At 45.3% G+C, this 21,353-nt stretch overlaps 1 protein-coding gene across 1 annotated transcript in view, besides 1 other annotated feature; it reads right to left on the reverse strand.

Annotated features, from left to right (window-relative positions):
* Positions 1,061-21,353, reverse strand: part of CASQ2 (calsequestrin 2) — a 68,694-nt gene continuing 48,401 nt past the window's right edge. Inside the window, exons 8-11 of the mRNA NM_001232.4 lie at positions 18,880-18,934; positions 6,232-6,332; positions 3,961-4,035; positions 1,061-2,466 (exon numbers count right to left, since the gene is read on the reverse strand). Coding sequence (NP_001223.2) covers positions 2,281-2,466; positions 3,961-4,035; positions 6,232-6,332; positions 18,880-18,934 — 417 coding nt within the window. The 3' untranslated portion in view covers positions 1,061-2,280. The remainder of the gene's footprint in view (positions 2,467-3,960; positions 4,036-6,231; positions 6,333-18,879; positions 18,935-21,353) is intronic.
* Positions 11,924-12,566: an enhancer, noted in NCBI's record as "H3K27ac-H3K4me1 hESC enhancer chr1:116253505-116254147 (GRCh37/hg19 assembly coordinates)". NCBI's record gives its function as "activates a minimal SCP1, AML or CMV promoter by ChIP-STARR-seq in primed H9 embryonic stem cells {active_cell/tissue: H9 hESC(primed)}" and the evidence as "EXISTENCE:reporter gene assay evidence [ECO:0000049][PMID:30033119]".

A 21,353-nucleotide genomic window follows, 5' to 3' on the forward strand; every position in this document is an offset into this window, starting at 1 on the left:
ATTGAGAGGTAGGGTCTAAAGGGAGTGATTTAAGAACTTGAGAACTTGGGTCATGGGATGGATCTTTCATGAATAGATGAATGCCCTCTCTGGAGGAAGTGGGGTGTGAGTGGGTACTCGCTCTGTTAGTTCCCTGGAGAGCTGGTTGTTAGAGGCTGGCACCTCCTCTCTCTCATGCTTCCTCTCTCACCATGTGATCTCTGCACACACTGGTTTTCCTTTACCTTCTGCCATGAATGGAAGCAGCCAAGGCTTTCACCTGATGCCCAGTATTGCAGCCAGCAGAATTGTGAGCGAAATAAATATTTTTTCTTCATAAATAACCCACTCTTAGTTATTCCTTTATATCAATAAAAACAGACTAAGACACCTTGTAAGCTCTGTTACCCAATAGTGCTGGGGAATTATAGGTATTCTAGTTAATCAATTATTCATCCACCAACTCAATAAATGAGTATCTACTTTGTGATGGGCAAAGCGCTAAGTGCTAGGGATTCTAAGATAAATTCCTTGCCTCTAAGGAGCCTGCAATTTAGTGAAAGGACAGACATGCAAATATATGTTATACCTTAAATGATAAGTGACATGATCCAGGGATGCACAAATCACAGGGGGGAAGGGGCACCTTCAGGTCACCTAGACAATTGGATAAATGGTGCTATCACCCACCCAAACTAGGACTCCATGAAGAGGAGAAGATGTTTAGGGGAGAAGGCAATGAGTTCAGGTTTTGTTGTGTTGAGTCTGAAGTGCTTGTACAACAACAAGTCAAGATATCCAGAGGCAGTTGAATGAATGTGTCTAAAAATAAGGCAAGGAGTCAAGGTTAGAGACTCATATTTGGAGGTAATTAGCACATGGATAGTATTGATGGGCACGATGACATCATTTTGGAAGAGTATGTAGAGTTGAGATGCTGTGAAACACCATCATTCAAAGAGCAGGCAGAGGAAGAGGGGCTAGAAAGGAAAATAGAGAAGAAATAAGGAGGTAGGACTGGAGCCAGATGAGAATGAGCAGAGTCAGAAAAATCAAGATAGGATTTTCAACATTGTCTGAATATTTTCAAAATATGAGTTTAATGACAGAATTAGTTAGCTAGTATTCCACAAAAAGTATTGCTCTATTTTCAAAAAATTTGCACAGTGTCTTACACATGTGCTAAAAGATTGAGAAAATAAATTAGAAAATTATACTGCACACTTAACACTAAATCTACCAAGCACAATGTAACTTTTAGACAGCTCAGAAGGCACTTTGGGATTTTTTTTTTTTTCAGTGCCTCAGGGCATCAGTATGAACTCCAATTATTGTTGCCCTGGCCAATTGTGGGAGTACTGATAACTGGAGAGTTAATTGACTGCTGGATAAAGCAATCTTTAATCTAAATGGGAAGGCTCACTAGCAGCTACAGAGAAGGGGTATTCAGATCCCAGCTTAGGCTAGGAAGCCAGCTGACCCAATCAGAGACATGAACCCATCAGAAAAATGTAAAAGTTTTCATCTTTCTAGTTTTCCCCCACCCTCCACTCCTGCTGATGAATATGTGAGACTTGCCAACTAGAGGGAAGTTTAGAGAGCAAATCAACCTCCCATCCCAGTTTCCTAATATACTAGAAATGATGGTGACACCTGTACACATTTCAAGCCCTCTCCATAGCCATCCAAAGGCTTGAATATCCAAGTTCATAGTGATATGAATGACCATCACTTGAAATAAGTTTAACAAAGCCATGAGAATATGATTTATAAGTTTGCTTCCAAGGCTGAGCCTTCTCTAAGAAGGATCATCTTGGCTGGAGGAGGGATCCCAACTGATGTTCGAGGTATGGAGGGAGCTAAATCATTAATCATGTGTCTTCCCTGGGCTCTGATTAAAAGGTCACTCTATGCCTGTGAGTTAGAAAGCTGTCAATTTTGTTACTGTCATAATCAAAGACAAGTAAACTTGTGTTAGGGGATTGTTCACCCTAGACTGCCATGTTCAGGCACTGCCATGACCCTTGATGGTCCAGCAAAGAACAAGATCTGTTCCGTGACAGTCAAGACAGTCAACATGGGAATAATTTTTCTCCTGTCCCTGCTAAGTGGGATTGCTGCATTTGAAAAGGCATTTGCTGAATGATGCTGCTCCTGACGCAAAGGGAGTGGGAAAAGAGATGATGGAAAAGGGAAAGGAGCTGGCTGGGTGTGGGGCAGAATTGCTTGCTGCCACCTTGTGCTGTCTGTATGGTAGTGGGTGCTGTGATTTTGTTTTCATCAGAATTGTTTGGAGTTGGGCTATTCATCATCATCGTCATCACTGTCATCATTATCCTCTTCATCAGAATTATCATCATCATCATCATCTTCATCATCATCTTCAGTGTTTATCTTTCCAGAAAGCACATCCTCAATCCAGTCCTCCAGCTCCTCAGCAGTTGGAAGATCGTCATCATCTGGAATCTCCATCCAGACACTGTCAGCCTGCAGTGAGGGACAAAATGAATGAGTGGGTAAATGCATGAGGGCTGAACCAGACCAGGGATAGCCGTGCTGAATAGCTATGCTGAGTGCCCCCCGACTCTCTTACACTTATTAGGAACGTGCACATTGTTAAATGGAAATGCCAAACGGCAAAACGGTATGTGTAGTATACTGTTTGTGTTGCATAAAAGGAAATGTGTATTCCATTGCCCAGTGGAATATATATGACATTTCTGGTAATATACCCATGCAACAACCACCAGTGGTTCCCTCCAGGAATGAGACTAGGGGTTGGGTCAGGGGAGTAGGAAATACTTTTTACTTTGACCTTCTAATCTACTGTTCTGTTTTAAAATGTTTTCACTTGAGCATGTTTTAAAAGTAATGTATTATTATTAATTTTAAAGTAGCTTACAAAATAAATGAATGTAGAGTTCCCTAGGTGATTGAACACCTATCAACAGGGGAGAAAGACATTGCTAACTGGCCCCCATTCTTTTTTATTTTTTTTTTGAGATGGAGTTTTGCTCTTGTTGCCCAGGCTGGAGTGCAATGGCATGGTCTTGGCTCACTGCAACCTCCGCCTCCTGGGTTCAAGCGATTCTCTTGCCTCAGCCTCCCAAGTAACTGGTGTTACAGGCACCCATGACCATGCCTGGCTAATTTTTGTATTTTTAGTAGAGATGGGGTTTCACCATGTTGGCCAGCTGGTCTTGAACTCCTGACCTCAGGTGATCCACCCATCTCAGCCTCCCAAAGTGCTGGGATTACAGGCATGAGCCACCACGCCTGGCTTGGCCCCCATTCTTAAGAGATTCTATCTTAATTAAGTATGGCTCTAATAATCCTCTGTGATCATCCCTTTCTGTCCACTGTTTGCCTGATTGTATCTGTCCCCACTTGAGTTTTATGATGGTGGAGTTGTATGAGATGTATGGACTGAGATCTAAGATTTCCTCGCATTCTGCCAGTGTACCTCACTAGCCTGTCCCACCCTCGGTTCAACAATGCCTGAACTCTGAGGAGAAGCCCCTTACTCGCATATGATTTTCTTCCTTCCCTTCTGCAGGCCTGGTCTCCTGCCTGTAGAGTAGTTGCCTGCCTGGGATTCTAGGCCACAACGGCCCCATCACCCATTGTGCAGTGATGGCTCCTGGTGTGGGTTCCCTTTTGTAAAGAGACCTTTTTGTTTGCTGTTTGACTTTGGGGGTAAATACAGGAGAGTTTACTTGAAGGGAAAGTTCCAAATCAGTGATTCAGGAAAGGCTGGCCCCATAGGCAAGAAAATGTGCCCATGGAAGAGAGCCATGGAACCACAGATTGGGACTGGCTCGGAGACCAGGCGTGGAACACACTGGCAAGTTTCCTTGAGCAGGACCCCTGCCCTCTTCTGAAAAGGCTGGGCTACTATAGATGCTCTCACAATCTAAGCTGTGTAGCAGAAGACAGGGCAGGCCAAGGGTGCCTGAGCAAGCCTTCACAGGGGATACTCACATCTGTGACATTCACCACCCCAATCTGTGGCCTGAATAGGTCAATCTTGAAAGTCTTCTCCCAGTAGGCAACGAGCTGCAGCAACAAAAAAATAAGATTAGACAGCAGGCAGAGGGCATTCTCTGTTAAGGACCCACCCGCCGTCCCATCACAGTAACTAGGTCACCATTGGTTAAAGGTCTTCAAAACAGCTGTGAGCACTTAGCAAATTGAAGACTTGGCCCCAGCCTTCAAGCACTTCAAATAAGCATTAAATAAAAGATGACACAGCATAAATTATGGAAACATGTGTCTGCAGCTGTAAGAGAGAAAATTATAGAGGTGGTCTAATGTTGCTTTCCAAATTACTTGTGGCTGTTTTATAGTTTATAGAGCCATTTCCCTCCACCTCTTTTTAATGTCCCAGTTTTAAAAATACCTTATCTTGTGCTACATGAGATAGCTGGGAAAGCCATGATGGGTCATAAGTTGCCAAGTAAGAAGAAGGCTTCTTCATTCAACCAGGCTTGGACTCCATGTGGACAAATCTCTGACTGGGGCAAAAATAAAGGAGCAAGGGGCCACAGGATTTTTTTTTTTAATGGAGATGTCCAGTGGTAGGAAATCTCCCACGCAAATATATGGCCTAGTGGGGACTAGGGATATTCAGGAATCTGGAAATCAGAATAGTCTGAAGATTTCTTCTTTGCAAAAACCAAGGCAAACACATAGAACTGGCCAGAAGAGAGTCTGGGCATGGTGGCTCATGCTTGTAGTCCCAGCACTTTGGGACTGGAGTCCAGGAGTTTGAAACCAGCCTGAGCAACATAGTAAGACCTTGTCTCTACAAGAAATTTTAAAAATTAGCTGGGCGTGGTGGCACATTTCTATAGTCCCAACTGCTCAGGAGGCTGAGGCAGGAGGATTGCTTGAGCCTGGGAGCTTAAGGCTGCAGTAAATTGAGATTATGCCACTGCACTCCAGCCTGGGTGACACAGTGAGACCCTGTCTCAAAAAAAAAAAACAAAAAAAAACTGGCCAGGAAAACTGCAAACCATCTGCAAGCTTGTATAACAAAATAGTCAGATAAACTAGAAACACAACCAGGCAGAAGCTATATCAACAAAGCTGTACTGTATGCAGTCTTATATGGCCATGACTTTGTTATAATTACCCAGTGCTATGACATTGGTCTCAAGTGTCATGGAAGCCTCTGCCTTTGATTCACCCCCTCCTCTACATAGGGCTGATTTTCAGGACCCTTGAGATCCCTCTCAATTTTCTCTATTTAATCACAGTATCATCAGTCATGACCTATGCAACTAATGATAATTCCTGGAAGATAAAGTCATCATTCATAACCTAATGATAACTAAACTTGTACTGATTACTTCAATAAGCATTTACCTAAAGCAGTCGGTAGACCAGGCTTTAGCATCATGTAGACCTAGATTGGAATATCACATCTATCACTCACTAGCTTTAACCTCCCCAGCTATCATTCTCTCCACCTTGTGACAGGGATTATAATAGTACCTACTTCACAGGGTTGTTGAGAGGATTCGCTGTGATGAGGCATGTAAAGTATTACTCTAGTTCCAGGCATACAGTAGAATATATCAGCTATGCTTATTATCAGTACCAGTACTTATTATCAGCACCAGAACCAGTACCAGGGTTCAATACATGTAGTGTACAAATGCTGTTTATTCTTTTTTAAAAACTAAGTATAATCAAAAGTTTCGGGCCATTGATCATGCACACTAGCAAAAGTGTGGACTTGAAGTTTCTTTCACATTCATCGTAGGCTAGACACTATGCTAGGTCCTGGGGAGAACACGATGAACATGACAGGCACGCTCGCTTTCTCTCCACAAAGTTCTGAACTCGCTGAAAAATGTTCATCTCTGATTTTTATTACTTAGTAATTCAGGTGGCCTCAGAACGATGGTCCCCACCCAGAAAATAAAAGTAGTTCTGGGGACTGGGAATGGAGTGATGAGGGGCAGCTCTGGAGCTGCTGCCGAAGGAGTTTACCCTGCTCACTTGGGTGGGACCCCGAGGGTCAAGGGTTTTCAACTCCTGGACTCCAGGGAGTAAGCCGAATCCTTTCAGGGTCAGCACCAGGCCCCAAGTTCAATACTGCCCCAAGGGCCAAGACCTCCCACACTGGGTGAGGACCGCCACTGGGTTTCTTCAAGTGCCCCTGCCTATTTCACCTCCTCAGATGCTGAACGCAATCATGAGGTTGTGACAGCAACTGAGGGTGGGGCGCTGGCTGGAGCCACTCACCAGAGGAAAGTCGTCCGGGTCGATCCACAGGATGCTCAGATCGGGGTTGTCAGTATTGTCCCGGGCAACCTGTTTCAGGATCTCCAGGAATTCGTAGCCATCTGAAACAGGATTCAAGAGAGTTGAGTAACCCCTGCACATACACAGCTTCTAATGTGGAGAGCAGAGTGTGATTTTTCCACGAGGACTTCTTAGGACATTTGGTGCTCACCCTCAATTATAGGATTATTCTATAGAATGAGTCAGATGAGAGCTCCAGGCACAGAGCAGATTATACAAAGGAAACAATAAAAAATTTGAACAAAGGATTAAAAGTTCACAGAGAACTGGCTGGTTTTTCACTGGAAGCCAAACTTCATTTGTGAAAACTGCCCAGCCTTGGGTCAGAAAGTCAGTCACGGAACAGAGAAATTCCTGCCTGTCCTTACTGATCCTGTGCGATCTCTTGAAACAGATGCTTTGCTGTCCCCTAGAGTCCCCAATAACATTTGCTCTAAGGACCAAGAATGTCTAAGCCTGGACCCTTAGTTTTCTACAACCAGGAATTGCTAAAACCTTCAAACCAAACGAGCTTCTGATTTACAGTTGGTTTCACAGCTCTGAGATAGTAAATGGGGCTTCCCTCCCTCCCTCCCTCCCTATTTCCTTGTATACTGGGCCCTCCCTCTGTTCAGTCAGCAGCAGTCATTGCCCCAGGGGTGGGATGATTCCTAAGAAAAGCAGAGAGGAGCTTTATAAGCTTCAAGAACACAAACTTGTTAGCTTTAAAAGCCTAAACCTTGAAGGACTAGGAGCATACAATTTTTGCCATAAACAAAAATTTTAGGAGAACGTTTAGTAAGAGATAGCATACTCTCAACCCTCAGCACCACTCCCCAGCCCCCAGCTAGAAACAGAAAAAATAGTTTAGATTCTGGAAGGTCCCTGAGAATAATAAACTGTGCCTGTGTGTGTGTGCGTGCGTGTGTGTATGTGTGTGCGTGCGTGTGTGTATGTGTGTGTGCGTGTGTGTGTGCACGCGTGCATGTGCAGAAACACAAGCCATGTGTGCATGTGTGTCCACGTACAGAATCTCCATTGTTTCAGGGAATCCCAGAGTATAGAAGACCCATGATTTGTTTCAGAATTAAACTCAGGCAAATGAAAAGATCCCAGAATCCCTTAGAGAACCCCCTAGTATAGGAGCACTAGGGCAGAAAAGCCTGTCAGAAGGCCCCATGGAGTTGTCTTGTCATTCTGAGGAACTTGAACAGGTAACGATGACCCATACCAGATGTGCACCCCACTCAGATATGCCTGGGAACCAGAGAGACCCTGGATCCCTTGGGATAGTGGGGTTGGGGTGGAGGACCTTAATTATCAGCCCCAGCTTCCACCACTCAGTGGTATACACTCAAAATTGAAATTTAGGTTCAGTTCTAAATAATAAAGTTACATTTCTTGCATAGCTGAATTTGTGGCTTGAAATTTATACGTTGAATACAAGTAACTCACCAGCTACTTGGGAATTCAATTAACTGTGCTTTCTTTGCACAGTTTTTCTTCTTTTGTCTGGAGTCTCAGCAAACTTGAGCTCCTCCCTATGGCCTCTGTTTAGCAAACCTCTCCTCTCTCCAGGAATGCTAGCTTTTGTTTGGCTCTTTTGGACTCTTGGTAAAAGTTTTTTTCTACACTTCTTTATCTCTAATGCATTCCAGGCAAAACGCATACTATTCTTAGCAACTCTACTTTGAGTTTTTGAGTTGGTGTAGTCACTGTTGCTAGCTCACACTGAAGATTCAGGCTGAGCCCCCTTAGGCCTTATTACCTGGGAAGCACAGCGACCTCTAGTGGAGAAATAGTTCCTTTTTTTTTTTTTGTCTGTTGCCCAGGCTGGAGTGCGTGGTGGGATCATAGCTCACAGCAGCCTCGACCTCCCAGGCTCCAGTGATCCTCCTGTGTCAGCCTCACAAGTAGCTAAAACTACAGGTGTGTGCCACTATGCCCAGCTAGTCTTTTAAATTTTATTGTTTTATTTTGTGCAGACAGGGGTCTCACATTGTTGCCCAGGTTGGTTTTGAACTCCTGGGCTCAAGTGATCCTGCCTCAGCTTTCCAAAGTGCAGGATTACAGATGTGAGTCACTGTGTCAGGCCTAGAAGGGGTCTTTATGGCCGGTGGCCACTTCTTGCAGAAATACAGAGTGGACCTCGGTGATCTTTTAATCCGTGCTCATAACCATATTGCAAATGAGATTATGACAAACACCGGAGACTGACAGGGCCCTAAGCATTAGACTTCATTTATCTGTCATTGCAGGGCTGGGGGTGAGGTGGGGTAGGGGCATTACTCCTGCTGCCTGTAGGTGGAACTGAGAAGGTCCTGCCCCTCCAGTGTATCACTGACTGACGTGTGGACACTATGGGTCGTCCTTTGGCCATGTGTCTGTCACAGGAGAGGGAAATATGGTGCCACCTTGGTTATCTGTAGAGATAGAAATCATAGTACAAAGACCACAAGGAGGAATTCCTCCAAAACAACTTCAGTTACTGTTTTTAGCTGCAGAAAATAAAGAAATGATAATCAATGAGGTGACACTGCCAGTACTTTGGAAGATGAGAGAGAGTCAAATGTAAAAGGGACATGACAAAACTGAAATTCACAGAGAGGATGAAATGCAAAAACACAGACTCAAATGAAAGTAGAAAGTAAACTTGTGGTGCAAGAGACTGATTCACATAAAGGAAAGGAGAGTCTAGGCAGGCACAAGTGTTGTGGAGGGACAGGATCTGTGACCCAGAACTATAAGCTGAATACACAACGGAGCACTGTTGTTTTCTTATGGGAAAAACTCTCTTAACATTGAGATTCATCAAAAGGAATGTGGTATACAAGAACTTACCTACTACGTTCCTATTTGACATTCTAGAGCAGGTTAAGAGATGAAAAGAAAAACTGAACTGTGCAAGAAAAATCAAATGGGTTGTAGTTTTTTTGTAAACGAGTGAAGTCAAAAGTGTGGCTTAATGCCCATTTTCAAGAAAATAAAAGGTTTTTGTAAAGAGAATATTCTTTGTGTCTATGGAGAAGCAAAGAAATCCCAAAAACCATTCCCAGAATAAATTAATAAATAAGGTTGACATTAAAGCTGAAAAAGTTTCCTCTAGATCCAAGGGCAGGTTTCTGATGTTCAGGGTGATGAATTCTGTAATGGACAATGTCTCTGACCCCAAATACTTTCAATGACAGAACAGAGCCCATTCTTCAGGGAGTCAGCCCAGAATGGCCCTTAAACACACAGACTCTGGGGCCAAATGACCTTGGCCAAGGTCGTGGATGTACCCTTAGAGTGTGACTTAGAGCAAGTTATTTAATGTTTCTCTCCTCATCTTTAAAACAGAGATGATGAAAATGATAGCATCTACTTCGTCGGGTAGTTGTGAGTTAAATGAATCAGTATCTCTGAAGCACTTGGACAGTGCCTGGCATATAGTAAGGTTTAGCCATTATTTTACTTAAATTACCTGACATTCTATATTCAAAGGCAAGGAAGCTGGCTGGAACTCCCTAAGCCTGGCCATTCCTCTGCTCATTTACCACATCGGTATTACGTTCAGTGATCTGGGCACTGGGAGTGGGGTAGAGGCAGTCTTGGATCCACGTGGTACATGCTGACAGAAAACTATATCACAAAAGTGTACAGCGTGGGGCAGCTCCTTCCAGCTCCTGTTGCCGATTCTGTGACCAAAGGCTTCAGGGATGGCTGTGCCAGCTGGTGAGACCACGAGAACCGTGCCTTGATAACTGGGTCAGGGAAAGGTTTAATTCCTTTGCTTTTAAGGCATTAGCTTGTGTGGATATTCCTGATCAAAGGCTTAAAAGCCTCCAAGGCTCTCCCCTCTTCAGACACCAGCCTTGAGTGCAGACCTGTTAAAATGGATTGTCAATCTGTGAAAGTGAGTTAAGGCAGCTAACCTGGTCTCACATGTATTCAGTTGCTAAAATTGTAAGTTACAAGTTCAATTTTTTTCCAAAGAGAGCCTCTGTTTCTTTGTAAAACTGGCAAGTCCCCTGGAAAAGAGAAACGTTCTCTGTGGATCCTCCCTTTTTGACCAGGAAGGCAGGTGTAGGAAGCCGCATTTCACTTTAGTAATTCAATGTTAAGCAAGGACTAGTCCACTGTTAAAATTACATGGATGAATGACTGAGTTTAAAATGAGTAAATGTTTCCTTTATCAGTGGTAGACATGGCTTGGAGCCCTTTCAAGACTATGGTCATGTATGTTTCAGAAGTAATATAGCCTATACTTCAAAAAACTGTATAGAGAAAAGGGGGAAGTACTATTCAGAGATGTGTAGGCTAATAGTTATCTAGACAAAGCAAGTAGAGGACTATTCTCTGCAGTTATCAGAAAAGCATCAGTTCTCAAAATCAGAAGAGACCCCCGCAACCCAGACATTCCAAACTCCAGGTAGATGAATAGCCCTCACTCAGAACATTTGTCTCTGTTGAATATTTCCAGGACTGAGACCGTTTGACCTTGCTAAAAGGCTGACTACAGAGTTGATCATTCTAACAGCCAAGAATCTTATCCTTGCATCCAATTGAAATCTCCTTTTTTTCACATGACGTTTACTCCCCAATTTCTTCCTTTATGGACACTGGACATTGTTCTTTTTTGTTTTGTTTTGAGATGGAGTCTTGCTCTGTTCCCCAGGCTGAAATGCAGTGGTGCAATCACGGCTCACTGCAGTCTTGACTTCCCAGGCTCAAGTGATTCTCCTATTTCAGCCTCCTAAGTAGCTGGGACCAGAGGCACACACCACCATGCAGTTAATTTTTTTATTACTATTTGTAAAGATGAAGTCTCTCTGTGTTGTCCAGGCTCATCTTGAACTCCTGGGCTCAAGCGATCCTCCCACCTCAGCCTCCCAGAGTACTGGGATTATAGGCGAAAGCCACCATGCCCAGCCAGGACACAGAACATTGTTCTCCATATGCAGAAAGTCTATAATCACGCTGCTCCAACCTTTATTTTCTGAGTGTCTATTGAACACTTACTGGGTACTGAGTACTTTTACATTTGATTTTTACAACTAGTCTTGATGGAGGTTAGGAAGATTTTATCATCTCCATTTTAAAGAGGATGGAATTAAGACCCAAGGAGAGCAAATGACTTGCCCAGCATCACACGGGAGCAAATGGTAGAGCTGGGAGTTGAACTCAGGTCTTAAGTCTGCACGTCTGGAGCCACTTCCACTGTCTCCTACCCTCTGAGGTCTCTGCACTCCTACCAATGTTGCTGCCATCTTCCTTCCTCGAGTGCTTGAGATTTTTAAGCCCAGTGTGAAAGCTTCAACATCAGGGAAGCAGGGGCTGGGACACTGAGGAAACTGTCCATGGGGTCAGTCCCAGGGCTGGCGGGCTGGCCTCTACCTTCCCATGGAGGGGTCCCTTCCCCTCCTTCAAACCACGCTGCCAAGCCCTCGCCTCCCAGCAGCTGTAGTATGATGGGTTGGCTAACTCAGGGATGGCTCTGAGTGGGACTGGCGTCTCAGAGATGGATGTAAATAAAGAGACCTGGAGCTGTGAGAACTGCAACTCCTCTCCTGCCACTCAGGCTTGGAGTCCTGAGAGACCATGACCCACAGCCAAGGGATGCACGTTGAACCAGGAGGTTTCCCACGGCAAGCGACTGGCCTCTGGGAATCACATCTTTGTGGGAGGAGAAACTGGTGATTATCCTCTTCTGTTTCCCTGGCAGGGACTGGTGGGAATGAGCCTTCACCAAGCCCTAGGGGACCGGTCCCAGGCCAGGCACAGCCAAGTCAGGAGCCAAGGCCACATTCGGCAGAGGCTCATGTGTCTCAGACCAAGCAGTGGTCCAGGAGTGAACAGGTCCACAGCATGCAGCCTGCCCTGCCCTGCTATCTGTCCTCATGGCCCCACTCCTGGGGGAGCTGGCTGTGCTCACTCCACAAAGGCACGGAAAGGGACCCTTCCTGACTCCATGCCATGGGAAGTTCTGGGCCTCAGGGTCTCTGCTCCTGTGAGGAGAGGCCTGAGCTTGGGAGGGCCAAGCTCTTAAAGTGGGGTCCTGCCCTTGCTTGTGTGGCAGGTGGACAGATAAACGGCCGGGGCTGGAACCACACAGCTTAGAGGTTGTGTCTAAAGAGGGCACTGGGTCTGGAGTTTAAAGACCTTGCACAGGTTGCTTAACCGCTCCCCTTTCATCTCCTCCTCTGAAAGTGGAGAGAACAGCTGCCACATGACTTCTCAGGCATGTTGATATAACGAGATGCTATCAGCATGTGGGTTGGGCAAAGTGTGTAGGGAGACACATGCAGAAGGTCCTCATAAAGACTTTGTCTGTCTTCTTCCTTTCTCTCCTCCACCCCCATCAAACTCTTACTCATTTTAAGATTTTTTTTTTTTTCACTACTTTGATCCTTCGTTGATGGGAAGGGTTTTTGTTTGTTTGTTTTGCTTTGTTTTTGTTTTTGAGATGGAGTCTCACTCTGTCACCGAGGCTGGAGTGCAATGGTGTGGTCTCGGCTCACTGCAACCTCTGCCTCCCGGGTTCAAGTGATTCTCCTGCATCAGCCTCCTGAGTAGCTGGGACTACAGGTGCATGCTACCATGCCCAGCTAATTTTTGTATTTTTAGTAGAGACGGGGTTTCACTATGTTGGCCAGACTGGTCTCGAACTCCTGACCTTGTGATTCACCCGCCTGTAATCCCAAAGTGCTGGGATTACAGGCGTAAGGGTTTTGTTTGTTTGTTTGTTTGTTTTCAGCAGGCAGGTATAATTTGAGTTCCCACAACATCTTAAGCCCAGAGCCTGAGGCTGAGACACAAGGGTGAATAGGACAGGTCCTCTCTCAGAAAGACCTTGTTGGTCTCTAGACCAGAGCTCACTCAGTAAATATGGAATTCTCAAAAAGCAGCCCAGCATCTGAACTGGATCCTTTGGGAAACCTCAGAGGGACAGACAAGGCTGGGAGCTCTCCTCTCACAAGATGGAATTGCCAAGAAGTCACCCGTGAGAGTCAGACATCCGCGTAGGACAGGGGACATTGTCTGGGCCCCACAGCTATGAGACGGCACTTGAGACATGTGAATACGCTACCACTCCTTACCACACCCTCTTTCTCTGCCTGTCTTCTCCTGGCGCTAAGATCCCAGAATTGGTGAAAAAGTCAAATGATATGGTGTTGTGATGAAGAGAAGCTTAAGCTGATGGTTACAGAGCCCAGACTCGGGGCTGGACTGCTGGGTTTGAATCCCAGTTCTATCACTGATTAGCCATGTGAGCTGGGGACATTATTTAACTTCTTCGTCCCTGTACTTTATCATCTGTACACCGGGGAAGATGATAAAAACAGCACCTAACACGTCGGGTTGTTGCAAAGGTTAAATATGTTGATACTTGTTAAGTGCTTGGAATAACATTCAACACATAGTAAGAACCAGGCCAGGCACAGTGGCTCACACCCATAATCCCAGCACTTTGGGAGGCTATTGAAAATACAAAACTTAGCCAGGTGTGGTGGCCCATGCCTCTAATCCCAGCTACTCGGGAGGCTGAGGCAGGAGAATCGCTTGAACCCGGGAGGTGGAGGTTGCAGTGAGCAGAGATGGTGCCACTGCACTCCAGCCTGAGCAATAGAGGGAGACTGCCTCAAAAAAAAAAAAAAAGAAAGAAAGAAAGAACCAAATGTTAAATTTGGTAAACCAAACTTAAAATCAAAAGCTCAAGGAGGCAGTTAGTGGTCCTACTTGAGACAATTGGTCTCAAAAAGATTTTTACAAGAACCTGAAGCAGTGGAAGCTTGGATGGAACAGAGCTTGGAGACGTTCCTTCCAGGGCCTGTCACTAATTCTGTTCCACGTGTGCAGACAGCAGCCTTTCCTTGCATTTCCAGCTTGTTAGCGCTAATATTCCCAGTGCCCTTTGAGGATATCCATCTAGCATGCACTCATGTAGAAACGCTGCTTTGCAAACCTTTCATCACATGTTATAAAGAAGATGTCAGCCTGACACAGACACATCTAGGGGTGGTGAGGAAGACAGTCATTCATTTTCAAACCTGTCAGACGAGCGGCTCTGGCGGGCACTTTGAGCGCAGGAGCTGGAGGAAGACTGGCAGCACCACCAGGCAATGGGCAAGAGCACAGGGCTAGGAAATGTCCTTCCCAGCCAGGCCTGCCTAAGGGCATGGGATGAGTACAGCAGGAGAGATCTGGCGATTAGGCTCGAGGGCCAGGAGAGCAGACTCTGCCTCCTGGCAGGTGGAGGTGGGAGTACAGGGTTGCTGCCTTCCCTCAGCTTCCTACCCTGGGTGAACTCAAGCTCTTGGCCATGAGGATCATGTCAGAACTGCTGGGGGAAGAAAGTGGTTGGGGCAGCTGGATCACTGGGACATGTGGTTGTTGCTGCTGTGTAATCTTAGATCCCAAACCTGGACAGACAGTGGGAGGAAGCCTGACTTTTCTTCCCTAACTAGGCTCTCAAGCTTCCAGGTGGTTTTGTGCTCTTCTCACCTCCGCCTGCTCTGCCTGCTCGTGTCCCCTTCCCCAGTACATGCGGCAGCACTGCACATGCTCAGAGCCTGCACTGGCTGGGGCATTGTTTGGAGTTGGTGTGATAGGGTGGACTGTGCACAGGAGGGGCCCTTGGGAAATCTAAGCTCGATTTCCCACTATTCCTATAACCCTGTGATCCCGAACATGCCACTGCATTGCCCTGGGTCTCCGCTTTCTTGTCTTTCAAATGTTGGAGGTGGAGGAGATGGTGAAGGGCAATAGAGAGGCAGGAAGGAGGATCGAATGATCACTTAGCATAAGGCCCTGCTACAGACGTATATGCCACTCAGAGTTGCTAACCTGACGACTTCATATAACTCTATGGCAGGGCCTTGTGGTTAAGGGTGTGGGCTGGGAAGCCAGACATCCTCAGCGTCATTCCAACTTCATGCTTCCCAGTGAGGTAAGCTCTCTCAGCCTCAGCTTCCTCAGTTGTAATAAAAATAATGCCTTCCTCATGGGGTTCTTGTGTACATATAAGTACACAGTAAGTGACAATCATCATCATCTTCCTCATAGTCATGATGTATTTAGAGGTCAAGATAGCCTGCTTGAATTTGAATCTTGGCTTAGGTATAGTGAGTGATTTGGGCAACTTATTTAACCTCTAAAACTCACGTTCCTCATCTGACACTAGAATAATAATCATCATGCACGTATTACAGAGTGGCTTTAGGTGCTAAATAAGGTCATCTACATAAAGCTCCTAGCACAGTTCCTCAATACTGTTAGTTCTTTAAGAAGAACTGTATTATTTTCCTGGAGGTATGATCTTCTTCCTTGGGGTGGTGGGGTTAGGTGTTTGGTTGGGGTGAAAGGCCATGTCTAACTTGTTAGCAAGAGCAAAGGAATGCAGAGGGACTGTTTTGCAGGAATGACATTCCTAGTCCTGCAGTCAGGCCCATTGCCCCAGGTTACACATCAGTGCTCTGCAGGTAAATCACTGATTAACCACAAATTCAGAGTCAGGGACTTTCACAGACAAGTCTTTCCCTTTCCCAACCCTGAGTGGCAAGGCCCTTGCTCACAGAAGATGCTTCTAGAGCTCCTCCCTATCCCCCTGCCCTCACCTCAGTGCATGCTTACAGCTTCCCAGTACAAGCCCCAGCTTGGGCTCTTTTGGGGAAAGGCACAGCTTCAGGCCCAGGGATATTTGTGCAGGGAGGAGGTGGAAGTAGTTTCTGGAGCTTGATTCATTACAGCAGCAATCTCGGTCAAACAGGTTCTTACAACTTCAGGGAGGCCTCTTTGTTCTATTGTTCCAAAGAGCCAGACAGGCTTCCCCACAATCCTGGAAGGTGGCAGGTGAGGTGGGGAAGGAGCCCTCTGGAGTCTGGCCAGCAGGCTGCTGCCTATGGCAACTGCATCTCTGTTCACATAACACCAGGGATCCGATTCTGTTTGATTATAGCTTGTAAACCTTAGGCAATTGGCTTCCTTTGCTATTTGCTCCTCCAGGGAAGAGTGGTGGCCGGAACCTGTGGAAAACCCACTGAAACCACACTAGCTTTTTCTTGAGAGGTGGAGACAAGGGCTAGATCATGTTGAAAAGTGAAAAAGACAAGAGAGTGCTCAGATAATTCAGAACATAAATTTGGTTTTGATACAATGGAATATTATTCGGCCCTTAAAAGGAATGATATGTGCAATGTCATTGGGACACCTTGAAAACATCATGCTAAGTGAAAGATGCCACACACAAAAGGCTACATATTAAATGATTCCATTTATATGAAATGTCCAGAATAGGCAAATTTTAGAGATAGTAGGTAATTCCTGCTTGCAGAGGTGGGTGAGAGAGAAATGGGAGTGACTGCTAATGGCTATTTATCAAAATGTTCTAGAATTAGATACTGATTATGTTTGCACAACTTTGTGAATGTCCTAAAAACCACTGGAATCTTCACTTTAAAAGGGTTACTATTATGGTATATGGATTATATCTTGATTTTATAAATTATATGATAAAAAATGTGGGTTTCACTCTGTAAGAAACTATGGAGGCTATTAGTGTATTGCCAAAAAAGGGAAGGAAAAGCTGGTCTGCCAGTGAAGATTTTGGGGCTCTGTCTTGGTTGGTCATCTAACTCTCTAATCATCTGCCAGACAAATATTTATTGGGCGCCTACCACGAGTCAAGACATTGTGCAAGAATCAGCTATATATTGATGAAAAAGGCGATCTGTTCACCCTTCATGATCTGCCACTAACTGTGTTCTCTTGGGCAGTTTGTTTAACTTCTCCAAACCGCTGTTTCCTGATCTGTCTAGTGGAACCATCTCTAGATCTCTCCCTATGAGTATACAAGAGACTGAGGTCCCCAGCAAATACCATGAAAGTCTACATTCCCTTGACTTCTCTGGTTACATTCTGGGTTGTCCCAGGGTTTCCAAAATGCACTTCAGAATCTGTGCTTCCACTTTCTCTTGGGGACTCTCTGTCTCACAGAGCACTGCCATAGGGAATTGCTACCTGCAAAATCAATTTTCCTGCACTTCACTCTCCACTGGTGTTGAAAAGAGTGAAACCAGAGAAAAGTTGTCCAAGTTCCAAAAACAAAGTTACCCATCCATTTACAGGGTCATCTTGCACTTTCAAAATAAGCTGCTCATTTTCCCCAGGTCTCATTATTTAGGGGAATGTTTCCTACTTCATTTCCTAAGCACAGACAATATTTTATGGATTAAAGTATACATTTATCCTATTTTCAGGTAGAATTGTGGTTGATATAGGCTAGATGGCAAAATAGGTAAATAAACTTTTAATGTGAACAGAAGTTCACACGTGCACACACACACAAGCACACACACACCCTGTAAAGCTGGTATGTTTTAATATCTCCCCCAGTGCCCAGTGTACCTTTCTATGTTTGGGCAGCAAAGCAGAATGTTTGAGGTTCTTGAAAGCATCTCCAAAAACACTTTATAAAATCAACTGGAGAAAAAAATAAAATCCCGCTAGGCTTCCCACACCATCGGCAGCAATCGTGAAGCTGGCTTGCCCTCTGGCCCACTTCTCTTCACTGTGTACTACCCCAGGATAATGTAGCCCTTGTCACAAGACTTGTTGTCCCTTCTCTGTTCTATAGACAAAATTTAAGACATGGTGAGATTAAAAGTGATATGGTTTGGATCTGTGTCCCCTACCCAAATCTCCTGTTGAAATGTAATCCCCAATGCTGGAGGTGGGGCCTGGTGGGAGATGATTGGATCGTGGGGGTGGTTTCTTATGATTTAACACCATTCCCCACTTGGTATGAGTTCTCACAAGATCTGGTTATATAAAAGTGTGTGGCACCTCCCCACCACCTTGGTCCTGCTCCTGCCATGTGAGATGTCTGCTCCCGCTTTGCCTTCTGCCATGAGTAAAAGCTCCCTGAAGCCTCCCCAGAAGCAGATACTGCCCTGTTTCCTGTACAACCTGAAGAACTTTGAGCCAATAGAAGCTCTTTTCTTTATAAATTACCCTGTCTCTGGTATTTCTTCATAGCAATGTGAGAATGGACTAATACAATAAGATTTCCATTTGAGTTTCTCTTTTAGGTTCTGCATACCAATAAAACTACTGACATCAGCTGGTCTAAAAGGCTGAGCAAGGAGCTGACTTATGGAAGAATGCAGTTTCCACATCCTCACGATTTCATCCCCTTACCCAGATCAATCAATGACCCCAATTTTCCAGGCCCTCACCTTCCATGATCCTCTTAAAAACCCTTGCCCAGAACCCCTTGAAGAATTGGATTTGTGGCCTGAGAATCCCTCCTCTTACCCATTTGGCAGCCTTGCGATTATTAAACTCTTTCTCTGCTGCAAATCCCACTGACTCAGTGTGTTGGTCCATTGCTGTGCAGCGCTGTAGGAACCTGGTAGTCTATAACATTCTGATTTGTTCACACCTTTTCTTCTCTTAGCCGTGTGCACAATTGAAAACGAACTCATACTTAATGGGCGACCACCAGGGGGTGCCCAATATCTTGCAGTTGCATTGTGGATGGGATGTGAGAGAAGAGAAAGGTGAGGGCTGGCAAAGGTGAGAAATCAGTTCTTGCTAGAGCTGTAAAAGAGCAGGTTGAAGGTTTCCTACCTGGATCACTCTTCTCTGCAAAGGCCACAATGTGGATCCCATTCAAATCATCTTCCTGTATGAGAAAAGTAACAAAAGTTACACTTCCAGCTGGAGGGATGCAAAGGACTGAGCCAGGGACAGGGACTCAGAAGCTGGAATGGGAATAGGAGAGGTAGGGAGAGGTGTGGAAGCGGGGATGAACACAGAAGCACAGAGGAGTACAGCGGGGCTCACATTAAGGAAGGAATGCTGAGGAGCAACTGCCAGGAATGCATAGGGTTTGGATCAGGGACTCAGATAAATGAGTTTGCAAGACAGGAAAATACCAACCACACGCAAGACATTAGCACTAAATGAGCCTCACTCCTGTGGTCTGGTGGTTCCAGGAGTGCAGCAGTAAAAGGCAAAATGAGAAAGAACATGAGTCTGGTTTATCAGGAGATCTGAGAGCAACAATGGCTCTGGAGGCAGCTCAGTAAAAGCAGCTGTCAGTCTCTGTTTCAAGAATTTACCACTGGCAGATAGAGTCAGTGATACACCAGATTATGGAGGCTTCTGAATGCTGTGGACAGATCCTGAAACTATATCCAAATGGATGGCAGACAGGAATCATTGAGGTCAATTAGGATGTGGGCTGGTGTTGTTCACACAAGAATCACAGACAAGGGTTGTGCTTCCCTGTTAGGACCCTGCCTACAGAACCCATGTAGTGTGTAGGGGACACTGCTAGAAGTGGCCTCTAGGTGACTTCCTTGAAGTCCTTGCCCAGTCAGTATAGGCCTCCAGTGCATTTCTGAGGCTGCAGGAATTGTCTGGAATTTGAGCGTAAGGAAGGTTGAGGGTGTGCGATTGAGAAAAGTGGTGTATGGCTGTGGGGGCAGGGGCAGGAAGAAGAACCTAGAGAGAGTATTTTAAGTCTATGGGGCAAACAAGGCGCATTTCATGTCTCTACACCCTGGGCAGCAAGGACCCTATGCCTTGTGTCTCCTTTGCAATGATTATTCCTGGAGAAAGAGGAGCTAGAGCTTGGAAGGGGCTCTGCTATCACAAATGTGATTCTCAGGAGACTTGGGGAGGAATATGTGTGAGAAAGAGGCACCTGGGGACAAGGCCGAGTGCATAGTGATGATGAGACATGGGGAGAGGTATGCTTTGGGCACCCTGAACATCATATCAGAATCATCCTATGGAAAAACCTCCAGGCGTCTCAACCTTCCCATGATCTCTGTTTCCATTTCAATTGATTTTAATGCTGGCGCAATCCTATCTAAATGCTAATTTTTTTCCTTTGAGTTTGGAATGGACAAAGCCTCCACAAATTCTAAGAAAGATTAAATGGAAAATATTATTATTAAAAACAAGACAGTGGGCACTGCCTTGGTCAGATTCTCTGGAGAATTTAATTTTACAGATACGCATGTGTGTGCCTGTGTGTGCCGGCTTATTACACAAATCGACAGCAACCAGAAGGGGAGTCTGAGGTTTCACTGTTTTACATTTGCTATTATCGCCAGACAGAATATCCCGATCAGTTCTCATTAGGCTAGCCTGTGTCTCTGTCTCCTGCCATCAGATGGGAGTGAGCGCTGTTAATTCTGTGAAGCAGGCTTCATTTCTGTGTGCCCTGCTAGAACGCATTTGGAATTGGCTTTAGAATTAAGAATCCATATTTGTTTTCTAGAAGGCTGCTCATAATACGGCTGTCACTCCCCAGACCCAAGATGGTCCCTGGAGGGAGCACTGTCACCAAGGGAAAGAGCCTGTCACTGTGTGCGTCACAAAGATTCAGCATGCAGACCTGTATTCCACATCCACAAGGAAGCAGGCCAGCGCTAGGTGCCAGGCATTTTCAAGTAATAAACTCACAGAGCCAGAACCCATGGGCAAGCTGGCAAGTTGGGGTTACTCAGTGAGAACCCAGCTTGCACAGGGGAGGAATAGCTGTGCTGACTTCAGGGCTGAGAACCCCCGGGGCTTCTCTGAATCCCACAGCCTTTGCTACCCAGATCTCTCATTTGGTCTTTAGGTTGTCTTGGAAATTCTGTTTTTAATTGCATGAATCTTCCCTCCTCAACTAGATGGAAAGCTCACTAAAAGAAGGGATTATGCCTTAAGATAACAACAGTTATTAAAGTGGCAACAATATCTGCTATTTGCCACTTTTTCTGTACTTACTTTGTAAGTACATTATCTCAAAATCTCATAAGAAAGTCTTATTCTTATTGAATGCTTGAAGAATCAAAGTGTCTTACCTAAGGCCACAGAACTAGTAGTGACAGAAGGGGGATTCAAGCCAGTTCTGTCTGGCCCCAAAGCCCACTGTCTTGGTTTATTCGGGCTGCTATAACAACATATCAAAACCTGGGTAGCTTATAAACAACAGAAATTTATTTCTCACTGTTATGGAGGCTGGGAAGTCAAGGCGCCGGCAGATTTGGTGTCTCGCGAGGCCTGCTTTCTGGCTCAGAAGCAGTGCCTTCCTGCTGTGTCCT

The sequence above is a fragment of the Homo sapiens genome, chromosome 1 (genome assembly GCF_000001405.40).
Source record: "Homo sapiens chromosome 1, GRCh38.p14 Primary Assembly".
NCBI lineage: Eukaryota > Metazoa > Chordata > Mammalia > Primates > Hominidae > Homo > Homo sapiens.